The sequence below is a fragment of the Homo sapiens genome, chromosome 10 (genome assembly GCF_000001405.40).
Source record: "Homo sapiens chromosome 10, GRCh38.p14 Primary Assembly".
NCBI lineage: Eukaryota > Metazoa > Chordata > Mammalia > Primates > Hominidae > Homo > Homo sapiens.
This window is the reverse complement of record NC_000010.11, coordinates 69,085,121-69,109,462: the sequence shown is the minus strand read 5'-3', so window position 1 is coordinate 69,109,462 and position 24,342 is coordinate 69,085,121. Positions and strand designations below refer to the sequence as shown.

Here is a 24,342-nt window from a genome sequence, read left to right as displayed (position 1 = left end):
GTTCAAGCAATTCTCCTATCTCAGCCTCCGGAGTAGCTGGGATTACAGGTGTGCACCACCGCACCCAGCTAGTTTTTCTATTTTTAGTAGAGACAAGGTTTCATATTGGCCAGGCTGGTCTCGAACTCCTGACCTCAGGTGATCCGCCTACCTCGGCCTCCCAAAGTGCTGAGATTACAGGCGTGAGCCACCACACCCAGCCAAAAATATCTTAAGTCAAAAACACATTAAATACACCTAACGTATCAAACATCATAGTTTATTTAGCCTAGCCTACTTTAAGTATGCTCAGAACACTTACATTAGCTTACAGTTGGGGAAAATAATCTAATAGAAAGCCTATTTTGTAATAAAGAGTTTTAATGTCTCATGTAATGTATTGAATACTGAAAGCGAAAAACCATGCTCGCTAGTGCTGCCCAACACCGCCAGAGAGCATCACATCACATATCACTAACCTGGGAAAATGTCAAAATTCAAAAATTGAAATTTAGTTTCTACTGAATGTGTGTCACTTTCACACTATCATAAAGTCAAAGAATCATTAAGTCAAATCATTGTAAGTTGGGGACCCTCTGTACTCGGTTGAATTTGTAATAGTCCACTAGCACTCTCCATTTGCTTTTTGTGAGGCCCAGACTGGTGAATTAAATGGAGGTGCATTGGGGACCAGCATTCCTGCGTTCTTTGTTTTTTGTTTTGTTTTGTTTTTGTTTTTGTTTTTTTGAGACAGAGTCTCACTCTGTCGCCCAGGCTGGAGTGCAGTGGCTCGATCTCGGCTCACTGCAACCTCCGTCCCCCGGGTTCAAGCGATTCTCTTGCCTCAGCGTCCTGAGTAGCTGGGATTACAGGACCCTGCCGCCACGCCCAGCTAATTTGTGTATTTTTAGTAGAGACGGGGTTTCACCATCTTGGCCAGGCTGGTCTTGAACTCCTGACCTTGTAATCCACCTGCCTCAGTCTCCCAAAGTGCTGAGATTACAGGTGTGAGCCACCACACCCGGCGCGTACCACCATACCCGGCTAATTTTTGTATTTTTAGTAAACATGGGGTTTCACCATGTTGGTCAGGCTGGTCTCCAACTCCTGATCTCGTGATCCGCCCATCTTGGCCTCCCAAAGTGCTGGGACTATAGGCATGAGCCACCACGCCCAGCCACCATAGTGTTTTTTTATTGAGGCAATTGCCCTATGCCTCCTGACCATCTTGATCTTTCTGGTTGAATAATGTGGTGGTTAATTTTAGATGTCAACTTCACTGGATTAAGGGATACCTAGATAGGAGGTAAAGCATTATTTCTGGGTGTATCTGTGAAGTTATTTCGTCAGGAGATTAGAGTGTGAGTTGGTAGACCAGGTGCGGAAGATCTGCCATATCCCTGGATCCCTGGTCCAAGGCCTTTGGACTTGGACTGAGCTATGCTACCAGCTTCCTTGGTTCTCCAGCTTGCAGATGGCCTCCACCATCACATGAGCCAATTGCCCTAATAAACCTCCTCTCATATATCTAAGTATATGTCCTAGTGGTTCTGTCTCTCTGGCAAACCCTGCTTAATACAATAGATTGAGCAATACTTTTGCTGGCTGTGCAACTACATTGCCTCTAGAGATGCCATCTCCTATCTCAGTGCCCATGAGGCTCCCCTGGATACATCTCTGACCTTGCTGCTCATTAAGATAACTGCACCTCTTGGCTTCTTGGCTGGACGCGGTGGCTCATGCCTGTAATCCTAGCACTTTGGGAGTCCAAGGCAGGCAAATTGCCTGAGCTCGGGAGTTCGAGACCAGCCTGGGCAACACGGTGATCTCTACTAAAATACAAAAAAAAAAAAAAAAAAATTAGCCAGGTGTGGCAGCGTGTGCCTGTAGTCCCAGCTACTCAGGAGGCTGAGGCAGGAGAATTGCTTGAACCCAGGAGGCGGAGGTTGCAGTGAGCTGAGATCTCGCCATTGCACTCCAGCCTGGGCAACAGAGTGAGACTCCATTTCCAAAAAAAAAAAAAAAAAGGTAACTGCACCTCTTGGCTTCTGATGGTTGAGCACTACCACCTGGTCTCTATTATTTTGGTACCCTTTATTCCCACTGCTATTAATAAGCCCAGTTATGTAACAACATCAGCCCTGCCTTTCAGAGGAAAGCCACTGCAGATGGCTCAGAGGTGCTGATTGCTCTCACCAGGCTATTCTTTATTGCTTTGGCCTTCCTGCAAGACAGTCATCTGGTGGGTTTGCAAGGCTTATATAGTCCATTCATTCTATCATGTGCATTTCCTTAATCCTATTGACCCCTTTTTCCACTGCCTGGCATGACAATTCTAGTATTTCCACTTCACTTAAGTGTGGGCTGTCACTTTCTCCAAGTGTCTAAGAGTCATTTTAGCAGAGTCTCAACACCTTCTCCCAGGGTTCTTGCCAGGGCATTAAAACCTGTATCCCAGGAGGGTACACTCACATTGCTAAACACTCCCTTATCCAAGTTTGTGTTCTATCTCCGTCCCTGGATCAAGGACTTCCAGAGTTAAGTCTTACAGACACCCTCTTAGCTTTTAAGGTCCACGTTAGCTAAGTTCTACAGAACTTTCAGAGTATTTTACCTTTCCTCCTGAGCAAGCCCAAAACTCCCCTGTTGGTTTATACTGACTTAACTTTGATATTTATCTGCTGTCTAGGAAGGGAGGTGGGGACAGATCTTGAAGGAGAGTGAGTGTTGTCTTTAAGGGTAGAGGCCTCTTGATTGTCTTCAACAGGAAAGCACTAGTTTTTTTGTTTTTTGATTGCTGTTTTTTGTTTTGTTTTTTTTTTTTTTTTTTTTTTTTGAGACAGAGTCTCGCTCTGTCACCCAGGCTGGAGTGCAGTGGCGTGATCTCGGCTCATTGCAAACTCCACCTCCCAGGTTCAAGTGATTCTCATACCTCAGCCTGCCGAGTAGGATTACAGGTGCTCGCCACCACAACCAGCTAATTTTTGTATTTTTAGTAGAGACAGGGTTTCACTGTGTTGGCCAGGCTGGTCTTGAACTCCTGACCTCAAGTGATCTGCCCGCCTCAGCCTCCCAAAGTACTGGGATTACAAGCATGAGCCACCACACCTGGCCAGCATCGGTCCTTAAAGCATGGGACTCTTCTGTAGATTCAGAGGTTCAAAGGAATCTGAGGATTTAAAACTTGAATGTATCAGCCCAGATGTTTCCATCTCTCAGGGTCCTATTTTTCCCCAGTAAGGACTCTGAGCTTGCATAACAGACTGGGCTAAGCTGACAATTTAATATTCTTGGAACTCTGCTATTTTTTTTTTTTTTTTGAGATAGAGTCTCCCTCTGTCACCCAGGCTGGATTGCAGTGACATGATCTCAGCTCACTGCAACCTCCCAGGTTTGAACCTCCTAGGTTCAAGCAATTCTCCTGCTTCAGCCTCCGGAGTAGCTGGGATTATAGATGCCTGTCACCACACCTGGCTAATTTTTGTATTTTTAGTAGAGACAGTGTTTCGCCATGTTGGCCAGGCTGATCTCAAACTCCTGACCTCAGGTGATCCACCTGCCTCAGCCCCCCAAAGCGTTGGGATTGCAGGCGTGAGCCACCACACCCAGCCATCTGCTATTCTCATAAGTCCTGGGCCTGGTCCTCAGCTTTTTAATTCCTTCTATTACAGAAGAGAGTTTCTTAATATGCTGCCAAGGAGGCCCAATGGTTTTCACATTTAGCTTTTAATTAATTGTCCTTAGCCTTTCATTGTCTTTTTCAAAAGCATTAATTAAGTCCAGCAATAGCCAACCAATACCATTGTCTTTATTATTACTACTTGCCAACATTTCTCAGATGCCTAGTACATCACACCCTAGTGCACTCCCTTCCACTGGTATACCATCTTGGTTCATCACCAGTGAAAGTTTTAACAATTGCACTGCTATCTTGTGCCTGTGCTCATCTATGGCCAAGGATGGAGTCCTCATTGCCAGCCAGACAGCAGGCAATCTAGCTCCAAAATCCCATCTTAGCATCCATTTCTTATCCCTCCTGGCACAACCTGTCACAAGTTGTGTTCTCCTAGAAGCAAATTCTGAGATGGAAACTAGCAGAAAATTTCTAAGGGAGCACTCTCAGGATAGAAACCTATGAGCGGAATGGAAGGAAGTAAAATTGAGTAAAGAAGAAACTGAGCTACAAAGTAGTCCCAGCAAAACTGGAGCTGATCCTGTGGGGAGTTTTGAATCTGTATGACTATTCTGAGTTCAGGCCTTGATATGCCCACATCAGCCAGTCACTGGATGCAGGCTGCCCTGCAAAGCAGCATGACCTTGGGCAAGGTGGCTCTCTCCTGAGGAGATTAATTTGAGTAAGTACTCAGTTCTGGAGCTGGGATCTGGACAGTACAGAACAGAATCCAGGATGGTGATGTAAGGGGGCTTTTCAGAACTAAGGGGAACAGAGATGGAACTATCTTTCAGGTGAGGAAGTGCTTTGAGATATATAACCCTCTTGCTAAGGCATCATTGCTTTCTTCATTTGCTAGTTAGTATGATTTGATTCTGGTTACAAAACTTGTGTTTACTGTAGAATACGTTTAAAGTTGTTTTGTTGATAAGACTTCTGGAGAAACGTCTGGCCAAAAATAACTGTTTCCTGGGTTTAGAACAACAGATCCGAGACAGCTTAACCTTTGGTTATATTTCTGCTTTAATATATAGTAACATTTGAAAATACACAGATATCCAGGAAAAAAAGGTAAAGCAGTATGAGGTATTGACAGCACAACTGTGTTTTAATTTGGGAGTTAATTTGGGGTGTTATGTAACAGCAATCATACTTGTAGACAAACACATCCACTAGCTCTGCAAACACATTCAAAGGTAATAGTATATAGTACACTCCACCCTGTAAAATATGTCAAATACCCCCACTCTACAAATTCACTGTGTTTCATTATTTTTTTTTTTGTTTTTATAAGAAAAGGGGCATATCATTATAATTCACAATCCAAGTCAGAGTCTTAATTTAGGTATGAAATATTACCTGCCAATTTGCTTCTCAAGCTACTTTAAAAATATATATATATTCTTTAAAGCCATTTTATGGCCATGGGAATCTAATTAATTTCATAATGATGTTGGTTGAACATGATACCAAAAAATGCAGGTATTTTCAAGAACAATAAAATAGATAACAGCATTAAAGCATAATCCTTTAAGAATTCATGAGAAAAAAAAGGATGATAAAACTTAAGCTTCTTTTTCAGATGTTTAAAAATTTCTATAAAATTCTTTGTCCCAAGATTAATCATATAACCATGGTACATAAAATATGCTAACTACATTGCCTGGTGTCAAGGTGGGAAAATCCTCTTTTATAACATAAAATCCTCTTCTAATCCATGTTGACCCAAGTCCTGGCTGTCTGAGGGCAGATTCCTGTCAAGAGACCTAAGGTTGTCATGGAAAGCATCACTTTCGTCTACTAGTTGGTAATCCTGTTCCATTTCCGTTAGGAAGCCACTCCCAGATCCTGATCCAGAGCCGGAGCCGGAGCCGAAGCCTGATCCAGAGTAGTCCTCAGAAAGTGGGAAGATACGATTCAAGTCCTGGATTCTCGTCTTTCTGAAGTATGAAAGAAAAATGGGAAAAAAACCAGTGGAGTTTGATATGTGGGAAAGATAATTATAATAGTTTTTTTAATATAAGGAGATAAATACAGCCATCTAGTTGCTCAAATTAAGAGATTTAAAAGCTTCCCAATTATTCAATGTTTTAAAATCAACAAAAAAACAGGTCAAATGTTCCTATGTGTTTGCCTATACTTATTGCACCTATCAACTTCACATCTACCTATTGCAGACTTGCATAAACAGTGTTAATTTTGTTATCACTAGCATATACATTCTATATTTGAAATTTACTTAAGAAATCATTTTAATTTTTATTTTTGGAGGCAGAGTCTTGCTCTGTTGCCCAGGCTGGAGTGCAGTGGTGCCATCTCGGCTCACTGCAACCTCCACCTCCCAGGTTCAAGTGATTCTCCTGCCTCAGCCTCCCGAGTAGCTGGGACAACAGGGGTGCGCCACCATGCCTGGCTAATTTTTGTATTTTTAGTAGAGATGGAGTTTCACCATATTGGCCAGGCTGATCTCAAACTCCTGACCTTGTGAACCACCCACCTCCCAAAGTGCTGGGATTACAGGTGTGAGCCACTGCACCCGGCCCAAGAAATCATTTTTAAAAGAAGTCCTCTTGGCCGGGTGTGGTGGCTCATGTCTGTAATCCAAGCACTTTGGGAGGCCAAGGTGGGTGATCACTTGAGGTCAGGAGTTCGAAACCAGCCTGACCAACATAGTGAAACCCGGTCTCTACTTAAAATACAAAAATTAGCCAAGTGTGGTGGTGCATGCCTGTAATCCCAGCTACTCGGAAGGCTGAGGTGAGAGAATCGCTTGAACCCAGGAGGCGGAGGTTGCAGTGAGCCGAGATCGCGCCACTGCACTCCAGCCTGGGTTACAAGAGCAAAACTCCATACCCTCCACCAAAAAAAAGAAAGGACAAACAACTAACAACTAAGTCAGCCCAAACAGATGACATTTTTTCCTAAATTAAAATTTCCATAAAAGTTCTAACAATTTACAGGGCTTCAACAAAGCTCACTTTTGAGAAATTCTTTGTAAAAAGCTAAGCTTTATATTTACCAGCATATAAACATTCAATTTCCTATCAAAAAATGACCCTGCCTCCAACTTGCACTCATTCAGCTGAAGAGTGCTGAAAGGTAAGGCTGCCTTCTGGGTTGAGTGTGATGATTAGAAATTCAAAGAGCACAAAATGGCCAGAGCAATGACGACAGCCCTCGGTGACAGAACAGGGCAACAAAGCATCAGAGACAAAAGCTGAGTGTCACAGCCTACAAGTCATTTCCTCCATGAAAATAATAAACCACCAGCATACAACCAATTAGAGTTTTAATTCATGTACGCATTCAATAAATATTTGTTGAATATCTGGTCCTTGTTTTGAGGGCCTGGGATAGAACAGAGGCAGATCGATGAAGCCCCTTCTCAAGAAGTTTTTATTTTAGTGGGGAAGACAGACAATGAAAAGTGAATAAATAAATCAGGAAAATCATAGGTGGCACAGAGAAATGAAATTGACCAATGTAATAGGGAGTGACCAGGTGGCTACTTTAGCCTGGGGTGTCGGAGCTAGAATCACAGATTTGGTAGTTAAACCCATGCAACCGATGGAGGTCGTCGAGAGAAAGCATGTAGATAGAGAAGGGGGCCCAGGCCAGAGCCAGGGTCACACCAACATGTTAAATACTGAGCAGAGGAAAAAGCACAACCAGAGAAGTAGGAAGAAACAGGATAAGGCAGGGCATGGAAGCCTCAAGAAAAAAGCATTTCAAGGAAGGAGTGGTCAACCATTTTTTTTTTTACAGAAAGGGCCTCCTTCTGTTGTGCAGGCTGGAGTGCAGTGGCGTGATCATGGCTCACTGCAGCCTCACCCTCCCGGACTCAAGCCATCCTCCCACCTCAGCTTCCTTTGTAGCTGGGACCACAAGCATGAGTCACAACGCCCGGCTAATTTTTCTATTTTTTGTAGATAGGGTCTCACTATGTTGCCCAGGCAGGCTGGTCCTGAACTCCTGGGCTCAAGTGATCCTCCTGCCTTGGCCTCCCGAAGTGCTGGGATTACATGCATGGCCCAGTTAGCTGTTTTTGAAGGCAATTAAGGATCAAGTAAGCTGAAAATAGAGAAGTAATCAGTGACTTTGTCAACCAGGGTGGAGTGTAGGAACAGAAGTCCAGCCACAGAGGGGGTGAGGAAAGGAGGGGGCAGGCATGGGTGGCCCTTTCAGGAGGTGTTATTGTGAAGAGGAGCAGAGAAGGGCAACCACTGGAGAAGACGCAGAGTCAAAGGAGAGATGTTGCCTAAACATAGGAGATACTAAAGTCCACCCCTATACTGATGGGAAGAAGACACTGAGTTCAGAGAGATAACTGCAGAATGGAAGTCCTGGAGAAGATGCATGGGAAAAGGATACCAGCCACAAAGAGAGGTGGCCTTGGAAGCTGCAACAGCCAGGGTCCAATCAGGAAACTTCTCCAGATATTTAACACAGAGGGAATTCCTCATACAGGTGATGGAGGAGAAGTGAAGCTAAATGGGGGATAGCGAGGTAACCCAGAGATTAGCAATAGCAAGAAAATATTTCCTTCGGCCAGGCACAGTGGCTCATGCCTGTAATCCCAGCACTTTGGGAGGACGAGGCAGGCAGATCATTTGGGGTCAGAAGTTCAAGACCAGCCTGGTCAACATGGCAAAACCCCGTCTCTACCAAAAATACAAAAATTAGCTGGGCATAGTGGCACACCCTGGAGGCTGAGGCAGGAGAATCACTTGAACCCGGGAGGCAGAGGTGGCAGTGAGCTGAGATCGCACCACTGCACTCCAGCCTGGGCAACAAGAGTGAGACTCTGTAAAAAAAAAAAAAAAAAGAAAGAAAGAAAGAAAAAAATACTTCCCTCCTTGGGCTACAGCGATAGTGGAAGGAGGTTGTCTATTTCCTGAGCCCAGGGACTAGAGGCATCTGGTGGGAGCTGAGGCCATGGGCAAAACAGAGTCCTGCCCAAGGTGCCATCCCAGGCAGGGAGTAAGGAGAAGAAACATACCTCTCTCCCTTCCTCCCAAGCTCTCAGTCTCCCGTCCTTGCCTCCCATTGGCCAAAGTCAGCCACAGCCCTGGGAGCCTGAGAAATGCAGACGCCAGGGGTCAGTTCCACCGCCACCCCCACCCCACAGCCAATACAGAGCAGGGCCAGGGAAGGACAGGAGGATCTGAGGGCAAAAGGGTTTGGGATCAGCACAGAAGCAAGGACCATTCTTTCGCAATGACGGGAAAGAAAGCACAGGGTCAGGGTGAGAAGCAGTTACTGGCTTTGGGGAAGGAAAATAGAGATTTGAGAAGAGGAGGAATGGTGTGCAAGAGTTCTTTTGGAGAATTTGAGCTATTCTCTTAACATTTTATTTTATTTTTTAATTTTAGTTTTAATTGTATTTATTTATTTTAAATGTGTTTATTTATTTTGAGACAAGGTTTTAGTCTGTCACCCTGGCTGGAGTGCAGTGCCACACCATGGCTCACTTCAGCCTTGACCTCTCAGGATCAAGCAATCCTCCCACCTCAGCCTTTCGAGTAGCTGGACCACAGGCATGCATGGCTAGTTTTTGTGTCTTTCTATAGAGACGAGGTTTCTCCATGCTTGGCTAATTTTTGTATTTTTCTGTAGAGACAGGATTTCTCCATGTTACCCAGGCAGGTCTCAAAGCAATCTGCCTGCCTTGGCCTCCCAGTCTGCCTGCCTCGGCCTCTCAATAGCTGGGATTACAGGCGTGCCACCATGCCCAGCTAATTTTTGTATTTTTAGTAGAAATGGGTTTCCGCCATGTTGGCCAGGCTGATCTTGAACTCCTGACCTCAAGCTATCCGCCTCGGCCTCCCAAAGTGTTGGGATTACAGGCGTGAGGCACAGCGCCGGGCCACTAATTTTTAGAGATGGGGTCTTGCCGTGTTGCCCAGGCTGGTCTCAAATTCTTGGCCTCAAGTGATTCTCCCACCTCAGTCTCCCAAACTGGGGGGATTACAGGCATGAGCCACTGCAGCCTAACATTTTAGATTTAAATGAATTACTATTGAAACCAATGATTTAAAGTAATGAAGGATGCTGTAATATTACATTCAAACTTAATGCTGAGGCTTTAAAGTAAGAATGCAAGAGTAGGACTACAAAGTTGCATATTGAAGATTGTAATGATGTCATCACTAATGCAGTGAATACCAGTGATGGAGAAAGTCACCAGTGATGGAGAAAGTCACCAGCGCTGGGAATGGTGGCTCATGACTGTAATTCCGGCACTTTGGGAGGCTGAGGTGGGAGGACTGCTTGAGTTTAGGAGTACATGACCAGCCTGGGAAATGTACAGAGACCCCTGTCTCTACAAAAAAAAATTTTTTTAATTAGATGGGCATGGTGCTGTGTGCCTGTGGTCCCGCTACTTGGGAGGCTGAGGCAGGAAGATCACTTGAGGAGTTCGAGGCTGCAGTGAGCTATGATCACACCACTGCACTCCATCCTGGGTGACAGAGGAGACCCTGTCTCAAAAAAAAAAAAAAACAAAAGAGAAAGTTGCCAGGATCCCAAAGTGATGTGAAATGTACCTGGTTTGGAGCATGATGATTAACCCTGGCTTTGAGGAGAGTGATTTTCTAGGTTTGAGCCTGGAGATTAAAACTTTTATGATAATCCTTTTCTTAATATGTATATTTTGCTACATCCTACATAGCTTTAGTATTCATTGAATTAATGGTTTCTAATATAATTCAATTTTTTGTTACTTATGAATTTATATCAGGTCTTTTTTGCAAGTTTAAAGCAAGTTTTATGTGATCAAAAGAAGAGATTTGATTTTTGTTTTACAAGTCTTGGCTAATTATTCTTCCTTTCCCTAATTTTTTTTTTCTTTTTTTGAGACAGAGTCTTACTCTGTTGCCTAGGCTGGAGTGCAATGGCATAAATAGGGTTCACTGCAGGCTCAACATAGGCTCAAGAGATTCTCCTACCTCAGCCTCCCGAGTAGCTGGGACCACAGGTGCACATCACTATGCCTAGCTAATTTTTGTATTTTTTGTAGAGACAGGGTCTTGCTGTATGGCCCAGGCTGGTCCCAAACCTCCTGGGCTCAAGGGATCCTCCCACCTCAGCCTCCCAAGGTGCTGGGATTACAGGCATGAGCCTCTGCACCTGGCCATTTTTAAAAATAATTACCAACTACTTGAAGAACATTTTTTTAATATAAAAAATGTATTTGAAATAGAGATAGGGTCTCACTATGTTGCCCAGGCTGGCCTCAAACTCCTGGGCTCAAACAATCCTCCCGCCTCGGCCTCCCAAAGTGCTGGGATTACAGGCATGAGCCACCACACCTGGCAGAAGAACATTTTAATCACCTCCTCCAAAAAAAACCCTCATACCCATTAGCAGTCACTCCTTATTCCTCCCTTTCCCCAGCCCCTGTAACCCACTAATCTACTTTCTGCCTCTAGGGATTTGCCTATTCTGGACATTTCATCTAAATGGAATCATACAATATGTGGCTTTTGGTGTCTGGCCTTCCTTCACTCTGCATAATGTTTCCAAGGTTTATCTATGTTGTAGCATGTATCAGTACTTCATTCTTTTTATGACCCAATAATATTCCTTTGTATGCTTATACCACATTTTGCTTATCCATTCAGTTAATTATTGGATTTTTATATATAGTGTGTTCTGTTTACACAAATAAAACAATGTTCAATCATTTTCAATACCTGTTGATGAAAAGTCCTCAATGCTCCTCTCTACCATCCACAAAAAAAATTTCAAAAACATAGGTGAATCATGTATACTCGCACATGTCATATGCCAGTATATACAGTACACTTTTACCATGTACTGCAGAGTAAGAGCCAAACTACCAAAGCAAGAGCTCGAAGCAAAACACTCTGGACAGCTTGAAGAAAAACACTCCCACATCTGTGCCAAGAGGTTGTGAAATTACAGACACTTTAAAATTAGAGAAAAGGCCGGGTACAGTGGCTCATGCTTGTAATCCCAACACTTTGGGAGGCCAAGGTGGGTGGATCACCTGAGGTCAGGAGTTTGAGACCAGCCTGGCCAAGATGATGAAAGCCCGTCTCTACTAATAATACAAAAAATTAGGCCAGGCGCAGTGGCTCACGCCTGTAATCCCAGCATTTTGGGAGGTCAAGGCGGGCGGATCACTAGGTCAGGAGATCGAGACCATCCTGGCTAATAAGGTGAAACCCCGTCTCTACTAAAAATACAAAAAAATTAGCCGGGCGTGGTGGCGGGTGCCTGTAGTCCCAGCTACTCGGGAGGCTGAGGCGGGAGAATGGCGTGAACCCAGGAGGTGGAGCTTGCAGTGAGCCGAGATTGCGCCACTGCACTCCAGCCTGAGCGACAGACTGAGACTCCGTCTCAAAAAAAAAAAAAAAAATTAGCTGGGCATGGTGGCAGGCGCCTGAAATCCCAGCTGCTCCAGAGGCTGAAGCAGGAGAATCGCTTGAACCCAGGAGGCGGAGGTTGCAGTGAGCTAAGATTGCGCCATTGCACTCCAGCCTGGGCAAGAAAAGTGAAACTCCGTCTCAAATAAATAAGTAATTAATTAATTAATTAGAGAAAAGTCCACTTACGGAAAAAGGTCAGTCCTCAGACGGGGGATCTTGTTGGATTCACCTGGAAGTAGTTCGAACATTGGTCCTTTTTCTTCAAGGCAGTTTGCAGAATTACTGTCTGGATTGCAGCGCACCCATTGGTACCTGGCTCTCCGCGTAGGATAACCTGCCCGAGGAACCCACATTGTTACTAAGTATCTACTACACAGCTTCTAATCACTCTGTCCTAAGAAGTTTTTATTTTTATTTTTTTTTCGAGACAGGGTCTCAGTCGGCTGCCCAAGCTGGAGTGCAGTACTGTGATCATAGCTCACTGCAACCTTGAACTCCTGGGCTCAAGCCATTCTCCCACCCCAGCCTCTTGAGTAGCTGGGAATACAGGGGCACCACAACGCCCAGCTAGTTTTGTTTTGTTTTTGTTTGTTTGTTTGTTTTTTGGAGAGATGGGGGTCTCACTATGTGCCCAGGCTGGTCTCAAACACCTGGGCTCAAGCAGTCCTCCTGCCTTGGCCTCCCAGTGTGCTGAGATTACAGGAATGAGCAACTGCACCCCACCCGCCCTAAGAAGGTTTTAACTAAATAGATTCTAAATTTGGTAAAAGGCAAAATGTAGACAGATTTTGTGCCCATTCATATAACAGCAGCACCCACTATGTGCCAACATTTTATATAAATTGTCCTTCTTACAACACTCCAAAAAGTAGCAGTTTAAAGTTAGAATAGGCTTTGGAATCAGCTGCCTGGAGTGAAGTCCCAGGTCTGCTGACTAGTTATGGAACCTTAACTTCTCTGAACCCTCACTGTAATATGAAGATACTAATAGTGTCATAAGCCTATCACAAAAATTAAATGAGAAAATACACTTAGAGAATTTAACACAGTGCCAGGCACACAGTAAGCACTTGATAATATTAACTGTTGTTACTTTTGTACTATTATCTCAATTTTACACAAAAGAAAATTGCAGCCACACAGGCGCTAGGATTCCAACCCACATCTGACCCCAAAGCCCACATCTTTTCATAGAGATGAGTCAAATCAGGTTCAGAAAGGGGAAGGAACACACTGTGGAGTACCCGTGGTATCACAGAATTCTAGTTCTTGTGTTTTAGGGCCATACAGTATCCTTAGGAATGAAAAGTAGATAACAATTTGTCCTGTGTCTTTGCACTCAGATTTCACAAGAACAAGTCTCCTCTATTCACAGAGCACCAGGCAGCTTGGAATATCTGAGTCTCAGCTTCTTCTGAATTTCATTTCTATGGAAAAGGCTCCAAATCTGATATTATGAGGTTATATAGGAGATTTATTTATGTATTTATTTTATTTTATTTTATTGAGAGAGAGTCTTGCTGTGTCGCCCAGGCTGGAGTGCACTGTCACGATCTCGGCTCATGGCAACCTCCACCTCCCGGGTTCAAGCAATTTTTCTGCCTCACCCTCTGGAGTAACTGGGATTACAGGCACTCACCACCACGCCCAGCTAATTTTTAGTATTTTTAGTAGAGATGGGGTTTTGCCATGTTGCCCAAGCTGGTCTCAAACTCCTGAGCTCAGGCAATCCACCCACCTTGGCCTCTGAAAATGTGAGGATTACAGGCGTGAGCCACCATGCCCGGCCTATATAGGAGGTTCTTTGTTAGCTAATGAAATAAAATCTTCCTTCCTCAGTTTAGCAAAGACAAAGGCCTGGTGGTGAGAAATACTTCACCGCCCTTCAAAAAGTTCATCTCCTCCCCACTCCAAGCATATACTTTATTCTAATGAGTGCAACTAATAATTACCTAGCAAGAAGGAGCATGTCTAGGATTCTTGAAAGTCAGGAAGGGTAGTTTTAAAGCTCACCACAAAATAATGGAAAACATTCAGATAAATTACAAGGCATCAACTCATAAGAGAATACTAACCAAATGAAGAAAAGTACTTTTTTTTTTTTTTTTTTGAGATGAAGTCTCGCTCTGTTGCCCTGGCTGGGATGCAGTGGCACAATCTCGGCTCACTGCAACCTCTGCCTCCCAGGTTCAAGCGATTCTCCTGCCTCAGCCTCCCGAGTAGCTGGGATGACAGGTGCCCACAATCATATCCAGCTAATTTTTGTATTTTTAGTAGGGATGGGGTTTCACCATGTTGGCCAGGCTGGTCTCGAACTCCTGACCTCAGGTGATCCACCCGCCTCAGTCTCCCAAAGTGCTGGGATTACAGGTGTGAGCCACCACACCCGGCCGAAAGTACTTTTTATGGAAAAGACAATGTGGCATTGTAGAAAAACCTATACTTAAAAATGAGTGAGAGGGTGAGAGGCGGGTAGGCAAAAACTTTTTTTTTTAATAAAATAAAAATAAAAATTAGGTTGGGTGTGGTAGCTCATGCCTGAAATCCCAGCACTTTGGGAGACTGAGGTGGGAGGATCACTTGAGCCCAGGAGTTCAATACAGGCTGGGCAACATAGAGAGACTCCCATTTCTACCAAAAAAGAGAAAAAAGATTTTAAAAATTAGCTGGATGTGGTAGCACACATCTGCAGTCCCAGCTACTTAGGAGGCTGAGGCAGGAAGATTGCTTGAGACTGGGAGGTCACAGTGAGCCAAGATTGCACGGCTGCACTTCAGCCTGGGTGACACAGCGAGACTGTCTCAGAAGAAAAAAGTTTATTTACAAAATTAAAAATAAATAAAAATAACTGAGAAAATCAGAATACCTCTTTGCATGAATAATAGTTTCAATTATATAAACAGACATGGGGGGAAAAATGGAAGGAAATACACAAAAATAACTGGAGGTAGAATCTTTGGTGATTTTTTTTCTCATTTTGTTTTCTAAATTGCTATAATAAACAATATTCCTCTAAAAACATAAACATTAAACACTTTAATATAGAAAACAGTAAATATTCTCCCATTGGATTTTCTTTCTTTTCTTTGTAACTATATATTATTCTATCATAATCTTTCCTATGATTCCTGAGTATAGCTTACAATGTCTGGTCTGGGAGAGCTGTTTGTCCAAAATGAGCTAACTCTGCCACTGCCTGGAGGCTGGGGATAAGGCAGGCAAAATGACCTTTCAATGTCTGCCCCTTACTGGCTGTGTGATCTTGGCCAACTTAAACTTCCTGTGCCTCAATTTTCTCATCTGTAGGATGGGGCAGTAATAGAGTTAATAAGGAGATACAAATGTTAGGTTCTCAGAGTAGTACCTAGCACATAGTCAGAGCTCTTCATTGCTAGTTCCTGTCATGAAAAGGAGGAGGACAACAATGACCTATGATCTCCGAGAGTGAACATCTTATAAATTTAAATTCAAATTCCCATTCTACCATTTAGTATCTCTAGGAGTCTCAATTTATGGACTTTCTTTCTTTTCTTTTTTATTTTTCCTTATTTTGAGATAGAGTCTGGCTCTGTTGCCCAGGCTGGAGTGCTGTGGCACATCTCAGCTCACTGCACCCTCCGCCACCTGGGTTTAAGCTATTCTCCTGCCTCAGCCTCCCGACTAGCTGGAATTACAGGCACGTGCCACCATGCCCGGCTAATTTTTTGTAGTTTTAATAGAGACGGGGTTAGCCAGGAAGGTCTCGATCTCCTGACCTCGTGATCCCCTCGCCTTGGCCTCCCAAAGTGCTGAGATTATAGGCGTGAGCCACCGCGCCCGGCCTGGTTTCACTCTTTCTCTTTTGATTCTTTCCTGAGGCAGCATTAGTTTAGCATCTAATTGCTACTTAGACGTCTCTTCCTGTAGGTGAAATAAAAATCCAGCATCTTCTCCAGCAGAGGGCGGTGTCTTCACACCTTGTACTGTCTAGACCAACTTTGTCCAATAGAAACACAAAGCAAACCACATAGGGAGTTTTAAATGTTCCAGCGGCCATATTTTTAAAAGTAAAAAGAAACAGGTGAAATTAATTTTATTTAACCTAACATATTCAAATATTGTCCTTTAACATATCATCAATGTAAAAGTTATTACTGGGATATTTTGCATTCTTTTCTTCATACTAAGGGTTCCAAATCTTGTATATTTTGCATTCACAGCCTGTCCCAATTTGGCCTTGCCACATTTCAAGTGTTCAGTAGCCACAAGTGACTTGTGGCTACCGTACTGGACAGAGCAGGCCTAGGCAGTCTCTTCTGCAAGCCGCTGATGCACTGAGTATCAAGCTGAGAAAATGTTTGCTCACACAGGAAGCTAAACAGAAAAATAATGCTTAATGAGAAAGCATCCAGGTGAAAGACCACATCTTTTCACCAGCATGACAAATACAACTGTAGCATATTAGTAAAAAATATTTCTAGAATACAAAATTCCCCCAGAGTTCAGAATCTCAGCTAATTAAAATTCGTAACGAAGGCTTTCTTTTGGGGGATGATGAAAATGTTCTAGAAGCAATTATAGTGATGGTTGCATGACTCTGTGAATATACTAAAAAACATTGAACACTTTTTTTTTTTTTTTTTTGGAGACAGAGTCTTGCTCCGTCATCCAGGCTGGAGTGCAGTGGTGCAATCTCAGCTCACTGCAACCTCCACCTCCCAGGTTCAAGTGATTCTCCTGCCTCAGCCTCCCAAGTAGCTGGAATTACAGGTGCACACCACCATGCCCAGTTAATTTTTGTATTTTTAGTAGAGACAAGTTCTCACCATGTTGGCCAGGCTAGTCTCAAACTCTTGACCTCAAGTGATCCACTTGCCTTGGCCTCCCAAAATGCTGGGATTACAGGCATGAGCCACCACACCTGGCCTAATCACTGAATTGAACACTTTTAATGGGTGAACTGTATGGTATGTGAACACTATCTCAACAAAGCTATTTTAAAATTTTATAAAGAAATCAAAAGTAGAAGGGATCCCACTCCAAAAGCCTATCTAATTTGGGGCCGATGATGTTAAATGTACTTTAAAATAAAGAACAAGTTACAGACACTAAATTCTTGACATAGCTATTCAAGGGTGTTGGCAGGATGTGAAAATTTACAGTTCCAGCCCCTGAGGTTGTGAGAGTATCTTGACTCTATCTTGCTTGAGATAAATGTCTTGTGATTATAGTGGCTATGCTCATGGATAGAAATGTTATCTTCCTAAAAGGTCCACTTATGGGATTTGTTGGTTAATTGTGTAGTGGATTCCAAGGGAAAGAATGGTTTTTATTTGAATCCTATCCCTCACTGCCCACCTCCCCCACCACCCTGAGTCCTGCTTTACCAAAATACTTTCTATGAGTAAATGTTACCAAAGCAAACAACTTTCTCCAATAGTCCATACCTTTTTATATTATGGTACTAACTTTTCCCTCAACATAATCACAATATACTAATTTCTTTTTTTTTTCTTTTCTTTTCTTTTTCTTTTTTTTTTTTTTTTTTTTTTTTTTTTTGAGACAGAGTCTCAGTCTATCGCCCAGGCTGGAGTGCAGTGGCATGATCTTGGCTCACTGCAACCTCCATCTCCCTGGTTCAAGTGATTCTCCTGCCTCAGCCTCTCGAGTAGCTGGGATTACAGGTGCATGCCACTATGCCTGGCTAATTTTTGTATTTTTAGTAGAGATGGGGGTTTCACCATGTTGGCCAGGCTGGTCTTGAACTCCTGACCTCAAGTGATCCACACTCCTCGGTCTCCCAAAGTGCTAAGACTACAGACGTGAGCCACTGTACCGAGCCTAATTTCCTATTCTTAATGGAAACTTACTGCAGGCATGTTAGAGAAACTTAAGCAGCAACTACCATGAAGGGGAAAAGAAGACCATTTGATTTATTCAAAATGGTAGCATTATCTAAGCCGGAGTTACTTCCTCCTGGTCTATCAATTCCACAAGATGGATAAGCTTCCCCCACTCTTGCATGGTTTGACAAGCTATAAAAAGCTCCTAAGTTTACTTTCAATTTCTCCCTCAACTCAGTGGGAAACGTTATAGCAAGGGCTACGGTCAAAGGATTTTTTGTTTGTTTGTTTAAATAAAGAAAACCTCTGATCCATGAGCTGCAGTAGAAAGTTAATTCTGGCCTTGAAATCAGACGACCAGTTCAGCCGTTAATTAGTTGTAATGGGTCTTGGGCAAGACTCACAAATTTTTTGCAAGAGGTTAATGTATAGAGCAAATGAGATGAGAAATGTCAGATCCAGTTTTCTCCTCTATAATTGGTGCTAATTCCTCATCACAGGGAATGTGATGATGATTACCAGAGAATGGATGTGAAATCACTTTACAAAGAGCAGCACAAGGAGTGGATCAGTATCATTCCTGTGAGCTAGGAGACAGTATACAGTGGACACATGGCGGGCCTGGCCTCCTTGGCTGCACCTGTTCATGGATATTCCATTTTTTTTCTTTATGGGTGTCATTGGAAAAGAGAGGCAATAAAAGTGGAAGATTCACAGGCCTCATCAAATCCCCTGGAGCCCTACATTAAATAGATTAGTCATCTGTGCTCTCCAGAGTTACACATCCCCAAATTTCCATTTCTTTGTGCTTGGTAAACACAATCTTACCCCACATCTTTACTTGGGTTTGACTTATAATAAAAATATACCACCACCAAATTCATATGTTCCAGTTCTAACCCACAGAATCTCACAATGTGAAATTGTTCAGAAATAGGGTCATTGCAGATATAGGTAGTTAAGATGAGGCCATTAGGGTGGCCCTGATCCAATGCCTGGTGACCCTCTAAGAAGATGGTATTAAGACACGGATGCATGGAGGAAAGGCCATGTGCAGACAAGGGAGAAGGCGCCATCTATAAGCCAAGGAGAGAGGCCTCAGAATGCGATCGACCCTGCCAGCACCTTGATCTTGGACTCCCATCTCCAGAACTGTGAGGAAATACATTTCTGTTATTTAAGCCACTCAGTCCGTGGTACTTTGTTATGGCAACCCGAGCAAACCACTATAGTGACCTGAAATGGTTTTGAATATGCTCAGTAAAAGCAAGCCAAAAGCCTAGTTGATTTCATCTGCCAAACCAACGGGCTAGATAAACACTTTTTATAAGACAGGAAGAATGTTGTCGAATCATATCTGGCATTGCGTGGAGGTGTGAGGAAATGGTGTCACGACTCTTCACATCACAGCCTTGTGCCGCAGTCACTCACATGTGCAGCCAGTGGGGGACATCTATTTCCCTGCATGCTCAGATGTGGGCACAAGCCCTTGAGCCCGATACTGAGAGCCTTTTTTCGGAAACACCCTAGTTTGTCAGTTTCTCCCTTGTCTCTTTCTATGGTTTCCTTTTCTAACAAAGAGCTAAACCTACGAGGTCATGACATAAATGCTAGTATTCTATACAATTTCATGATGAATTATTTTCTTTCCTTCTCTTTCTTTCTTTCCTTTCTTTCTCTCTCTCTCTCTTTCTTTCTTTCTGACAGAGTCTTGCACTGTCACCTAGGCTGTAGTACAGTGGTGCAATCTCAGCTCACTGCAACCTCCACCTCCCAGGTTCAAGCAATTCTCCTGCCTCAGCCTCCTGAGTAGCTGGGATGACAGGTGTGTGCCACCATGCCCGGCTAATTTTTTTGTATTTTTGGTAGAGACGGGATTTCACTATGTTGGCCAGGCTGGTCTCAAACTCCTGACCTCATGATCTGCCTACCTTGGCCTCTCAAAGTGCTGGGATTACAGGCGTGAGCCACCATGCCCGGCCTTCTTCATTTCTTTCTAATGAATATTATACAAGGAACGTTTTTGTTTTCATTCTAGTTTTCCTTAATGAATCTTAGTGGGAAATTCATGTTTCTGGGAAATTTTGACAACATAAAGACTTACATATCTCTGGTTGGGGTATGCCCAGCACCATCTGGCCATTCAAGACTGTACTAAAGTATGGGCCTCATTACTCTCGATCTTGTCAGACCACTTGGCTATTCGGGAATTATTTCATCAAGCTGAAGATATTCCCTAAAAGATCCCAGTGAAGCCTGTTCCCTACAATTGACAATGTTTTATATTTTAAAAATACATAAATTAATAACGTTCCAGAAACATTACTTGCTCTTTTTTCAGCATTAGCATAACTAGAAGAAAATGATTTTATAAATTTCCAACATAAAATGAATGTCTCTGCGATCATCTGTAAGATTTCATCTCCACCGGAAGTAAGATCATGACAACCAAAAGTCGCTTTGACGAAACAAATCTAGGACATGTGTGTCATTGTGACTCAACATTTCCCTTACCATTTGGCGGAACCTAGTGTTTTTCTACTATAGGTTCAGCCATCTCTCTATCAAGCCATGACCTCCGTCTTATTTAGACATGATTCCTTATTTGCCAAAGAATAACAAATTGTATTTTTCTTACAAGCCTATCATTTTCATTGTCTTAGTCATTACAGGTTTTAAGTTGTTTCAGTCTGACTAAACAACACTAAATGGTAGATAAACCTAGGAAGATATTTCCGAATATGATGCTTCTCTGAGCAAGAGCACAAATACCAAATTATTTGGCCTTCTCTTTAAAATCTGAGAGGTTTTACATGAACTATGTCTAACCATAATTGAGTTTTCAGTAAGAACCAAGTTTATCTTTAAAAAAAAAAAAAAGAAAAGAAAATACACACAGTCAGATTCACCCCAATTGGAATATAACGTCTCCCAGTGTTAAAATAACAATGACACCGTCACAGCGCACTAAAACTTGGGGCTGATGTAGACACTTAGGGGTAGGCAGACACCCCCCAACAGTCAAAGGTGCCATCTCCTCCATGCAACAGGCACAGGAGTCATTTTCTAGATTCCTTTTTTGAGCTTTTAAAATTTATAAACCTCACATTTTCATCCCAAAATAGCACATTTCAATCATTGTAAGAGTTTACAAGACTGCACACGCCACAGAGTTTAATTTTTCTTGGTACCAAACTTAACAGAACTCATATTAAAGGGTTCAGCGACCCCAAATCCTTCTTCTTTGCCTCCTTTCTCACAATATTATACATTCTATGCCTTAAAATGAATATAATGACTTGCATGGACCACAGGGCTTACAGAGAAGATGGCTGGGGAACAAGACTCCTGAGTCTTACCTTGAACTGAGGATTCCAGAACCAGGATGAGGGCAAGAGCCAGGACAAGCCGACTGCATTTGAGTAGCTTCTGCATCATGACCAACTTAGTCTAGCTCTCCCAGCTGCACGCCAACTTCTTGATTAGGAAATGTAGCAGGGTGCTCTCTGTCCCTTTTAGAAAATGTTCCAAAACCTCAAACCCTGCCCAGAACACACGTCACAATTTCCTGAACAAATAGAAAGACATCCACATCAAAACCCAGAAAGAAAGGGGGTGGGGGGAACACAGTAAAATAACTATTCATACCCATTATGAAACTGTACTGGACTCCCCCCAGGCCTGCTTTTTCAAAAGTTTTGTTGTTTGCCACTTGCCTGCAAGACATTTTTTTTTCCCACCGAAACAGTAGAATCAGCATTTGGGACAGTTTGTTTTTCCTTTCTTCAGGTAACAATCTAAACACTAGATTGCTAATATTAAGAATCTGCTGCATTTTTTATGAGATAAGGGATCTAGGTGCTGCCTTTTCGTCACCAAGCACTTTCAACATAAAACATTCTCTTCATTTTCTTTTTCACCGGGGAGTAACATACCTCACTGAGCCAAGCTCGTGAAGTGAAACTTCAAAGCTGAGCTCTAACCTTCAAGAATGAGTTGTCGGATTTCAGATGAACAGTTTCTTCTTCTTCTTTTTCTTCTTTTTTTTTTTTTTTTTTTTTTTTTTGAGATGGAGTCTCACTCTGTCACCCAGGCTGGAGAGCAGTGGCGCGATCTCAGCTCACTGCAACCTCCATCTCCAGGGTTCAAGCAATTCTCCTGCCTCAGCCTCCTGAGTAGCTGGGATTACAGGCGTACACCACTGCGCTGGACTAATTTTGTATTTTTAGTAGAGACGACGTGTCACCATGTTGGCCAGGCTGGCCTCAAACTCCCAACCTCAGGCCATCCGCCTGCCTCAGCCTCCCAAAGTGCTGGGATTACAGGCGTGAGCCACCGTGCCCAGCAAACAGTTTCTTCTTAAACTCAGTTTCTTGCATTGGATCATTGGCTCTCTCTCTATCTCAAGAACATAGGATTTTCAGTTACAAAGACTGTGGTAAAACAGAAAAACTATTTTGCATTCCCCTCTCCTTCACATTGAGCATTTCTTAAGATGGATTCCATTTCTATTTTTATCTGTTCTCCTAGTCAAAATTTTCAACTCGAGTTTTGGGTCCTCTGGCCTTGAATAAGCCAGAAATCAGGAACGAGGGAGAGGTTGTCCTCACAGTGAGCTGCTGGACCTCAGCAAACAACACAAACCTCTGCCTCATGTAAATAAAGGAACAGCATTTTCCCTGGGCATGGTGCAGATTTCTGGAGGACTAAGGCTCCATATTAAAGTTATACAATAAAGGCCAGGTGCTGTGGTCCACACCTGTAATCCCAGCACTTTGGGAGGCTGAGGTGGGTGGATCACAAGGTCAGGAGATCGAGACCATCCTGGCTAACACCGTGAAACCCCGTCTCCACTAAAAATACAAAAAATTAGCCGGGCGTGGTGGCGAGTGCCTGTAGTCCCAGCTACTCGGGAGGCTGGGGTAGGAGAATCGCTTGAACCCGGGAGGCAGAGGTTGCAGTGAGCCAAGATCGTGCCATTGCACTCCAGCCTGGGTGACAGAGAGAGACTCTATTTCAAAAAACTAAAAATAATAAAATAAAATAAAATAAAGTTATACAATAAATACAAGCCTATCATACATCCTTGCCCTTGTGGCATATACATTTTCCTTACTTCCTTTCAAGATTCAACCACTCTCCATTTCAACATGTCTATCCCTACCGCTCCCCCAGACGGCTTAATGCACGTGCCCCACTTTCCATTCTCATCCTCGCCCTTGCCTGGCCTTTGATAGGAGGGAGGAGTTTCCCTTCCCTTGTTTTAGGCTTCCTGCTGATTCCTTTACCATTTCCTGCTAAGGACAGAGTCTCACAGTCTAATAGCCGTGGTGCAAGAACACAAAGAGTGTACATTTTGGCCCTCCTCAGAAGCCCCTCACATCAGCCAGAAGTGTGTCCTCCAACTCAGGGGCGTCTCCAAGCACAGTAACCAACCCCAAAATGCACTGGCCCGGAAAGTTTTCCACTGAGAAATGTCGGTTTCTGTTTGAAATATCAGATGTCATCTTTGGTCCTTTTAAATCTAACTCCCAATTGAAAACCCTGGCACCAAAACAATAGTTCCTATCAATAGCTTCGATGAGTTTCCTGCAAATCCCCAGAGCTGATTAGGGCTGTGTTTTAAAATGGTAATTTTAGGGGCTTTTTCCATTTGGGAACTTCATTTTTTTTCTTTCTTTCTCTGGGTCATGGTGTTGTTGTTGTTTTTTACCTCTCTCTCTCTGTCGCCCAGGGTGTACCTCCACCTCCTGGGTTCAAGCAAACGCATTTGACTAATTTTTTTTCTTTCTTTCTTTTCTTTTCTTTTCTTTTCTTTTTTTTAGTACAGATGGGGTTTTTGTCATGTTGGCCAAGCTGCCCTCGAACTCCTGACCTCAAGTGATCCACCTGTCTCGGCCTCCCAAAGTGCTGGGATTACAGACGTAAGCCACAACGCCCAGCTCATGGTGACTTTTAAAGCACAGGTGCAGTATTCATAAGCATTTGCTCTTCTCCCACTACGCTGATAATCAAGTCTCTTTTTCTAAGAAGTCCTCCAGTCTCATTTAGCCCTCTTCAAGCTGTAGGGGAGCAGGACACATGCTGCAGCAGCTGGAAGTCCTGGGTCCAAGCCCATGCCCTTCACTTACCAGCTGAGCCACGCTGGGCCACTCACTTTTTATGCGTCCTTTGTTCCAGATGTAATGATGGTGTGGGAAGCCAATGACAGGATGTCCTCAAGAGCACATGGCACACGTGGTGAGGGAGGCATTGGCAACAGTCCTCAGGGCTGGGCATGATCTTACCAAAAGATTCCGCCATTAACCCAATAGGACCCACATCTTTCCCTAAAAGTCAATCTACGATATGCATGTTTTCCACAATTTTAAAAGACAAACCCTATACCAGACTTAATCCTTCTTTCACCAGGCAACCTGAGATGCACCTACTTTACTTCACATTCAGTTTATTTGCCCATAAAATGAGTATTCTT

At 43.3% G+C, this 24,342-nt stretch overlaps 1 protein-coding gene across 3 annotated transcripts, besides 3 other annotated features; it reads right to left on the bottom strand.

Annotated features, from left to right (window-relative positions):
* Positions 1–4,651: 4,651 nt before the first annotated feature.
* On the bottom strand, positions 4,652–21,860 carry SRGN (serglycin). Of its 3 annotated transcripts, NM_001321053.2 has the most exons (4): positions 21,803–21,860; positions 21,227–21,435; positions 12,232–12,379; positions 4,658–5,592 (listed from the first exon to the last, which is right to left on the bottom strand). In NM_001321053.2, exons 2-4 carry the CDS (start codon positions 21,303–21,305, stop codon positions 5,343–5,345), a joined length of 477 nt encoding a protein of 158 aa, NP_001307982.1. In that variant the 5' UTR covers positions 21,306–21,435; positions 21,803–21,860; the 3' UTR covers positions 4,658–5,342. The 3 variants fall into 3 exon arrangements, with proteins under 3 accessions (NP_001307983.1, NP_001307982.1, NP_002718.2); NM_002727.4 differs by lacking the exon at positions 21,803–21,860 and having other exon boundaries at positions 21,227–21,360; NM_001321054.1 differs by lacking the exons at positions 12,232–12,379; positions 21,803–21,860 and having other exon boundaries at positions 4,652–5,592.
* Positions 19,152–19,331: a silencer, noted in NCBI's record as "silent region_2427". NCBI's record gives its function as "represses an Ori minimal core promoter by ATAC-STARR-seq in GM12878 lymphoblastoid cells {active_cell/tissue: GM12878}" and the evidence as "EXISTENCE:reporter gene assay evidence [ECO:0000049][PMID:35858748]".
* Positions 20,030–21,229: an enhancer, noted in NCBI's record as "MED14-independent group 3 enhancer chr10:70847990-70849189 (GRCh37/hg19 assembly coordinates)". NCBI's record gives its function as "activates an origin of replication core promoter dependent on BRD2, BRD4, P300/CBP and CDK7 cofactors, and independent of MED14, by STARR-seq in HCT116 cells {active_cell/tissue: HCT116}" and the evidence as "EXISTENCE:reporter gene assay evidence [ECO:0000049][PMID:35650434]".
* Positions 22,877–23,046: an enhancer, noted in NCBI's record as "experimental_16968 CRE fragment used in MPRA reporter constructs". NCBI's record gives its function as "activates a minimal promoter by MPRAs in K562 erythroleukemia cells, with activity observed for both the introgressed and non-introgressed 10:70846258 variant alleles {active_cell/tissue: K562}" and the evidence as "EXISTENCE:reporter gene assay evidence [ECO:0000049][PMID:34662402]".

Bases quoted from the DNA above. Each gene is read 5' to 3' on its own strand.
- SRGN (NM_001321053.2), bottom strand. From the start codon at position 21,305: ATGATGCAGAAGCTACTCAAATGCAGTCGGCTTGTCCTGGCTCTTGCC. The intron at 12,380-21,226 runs GTAAGACTCAGG...TTCCTCGGGCAG, and splicing joins TCTGGAATCCTCAGTTCAAG to GTTATCCTACGCGGAGAGCC. The intron at 5,593-12,231 runs GTAAGTGGACTT...TTCATACTTCAG, and splicing joins CTGAGGACTGACCTTTTTCC to AAAGACGAGAATCCAGGACT.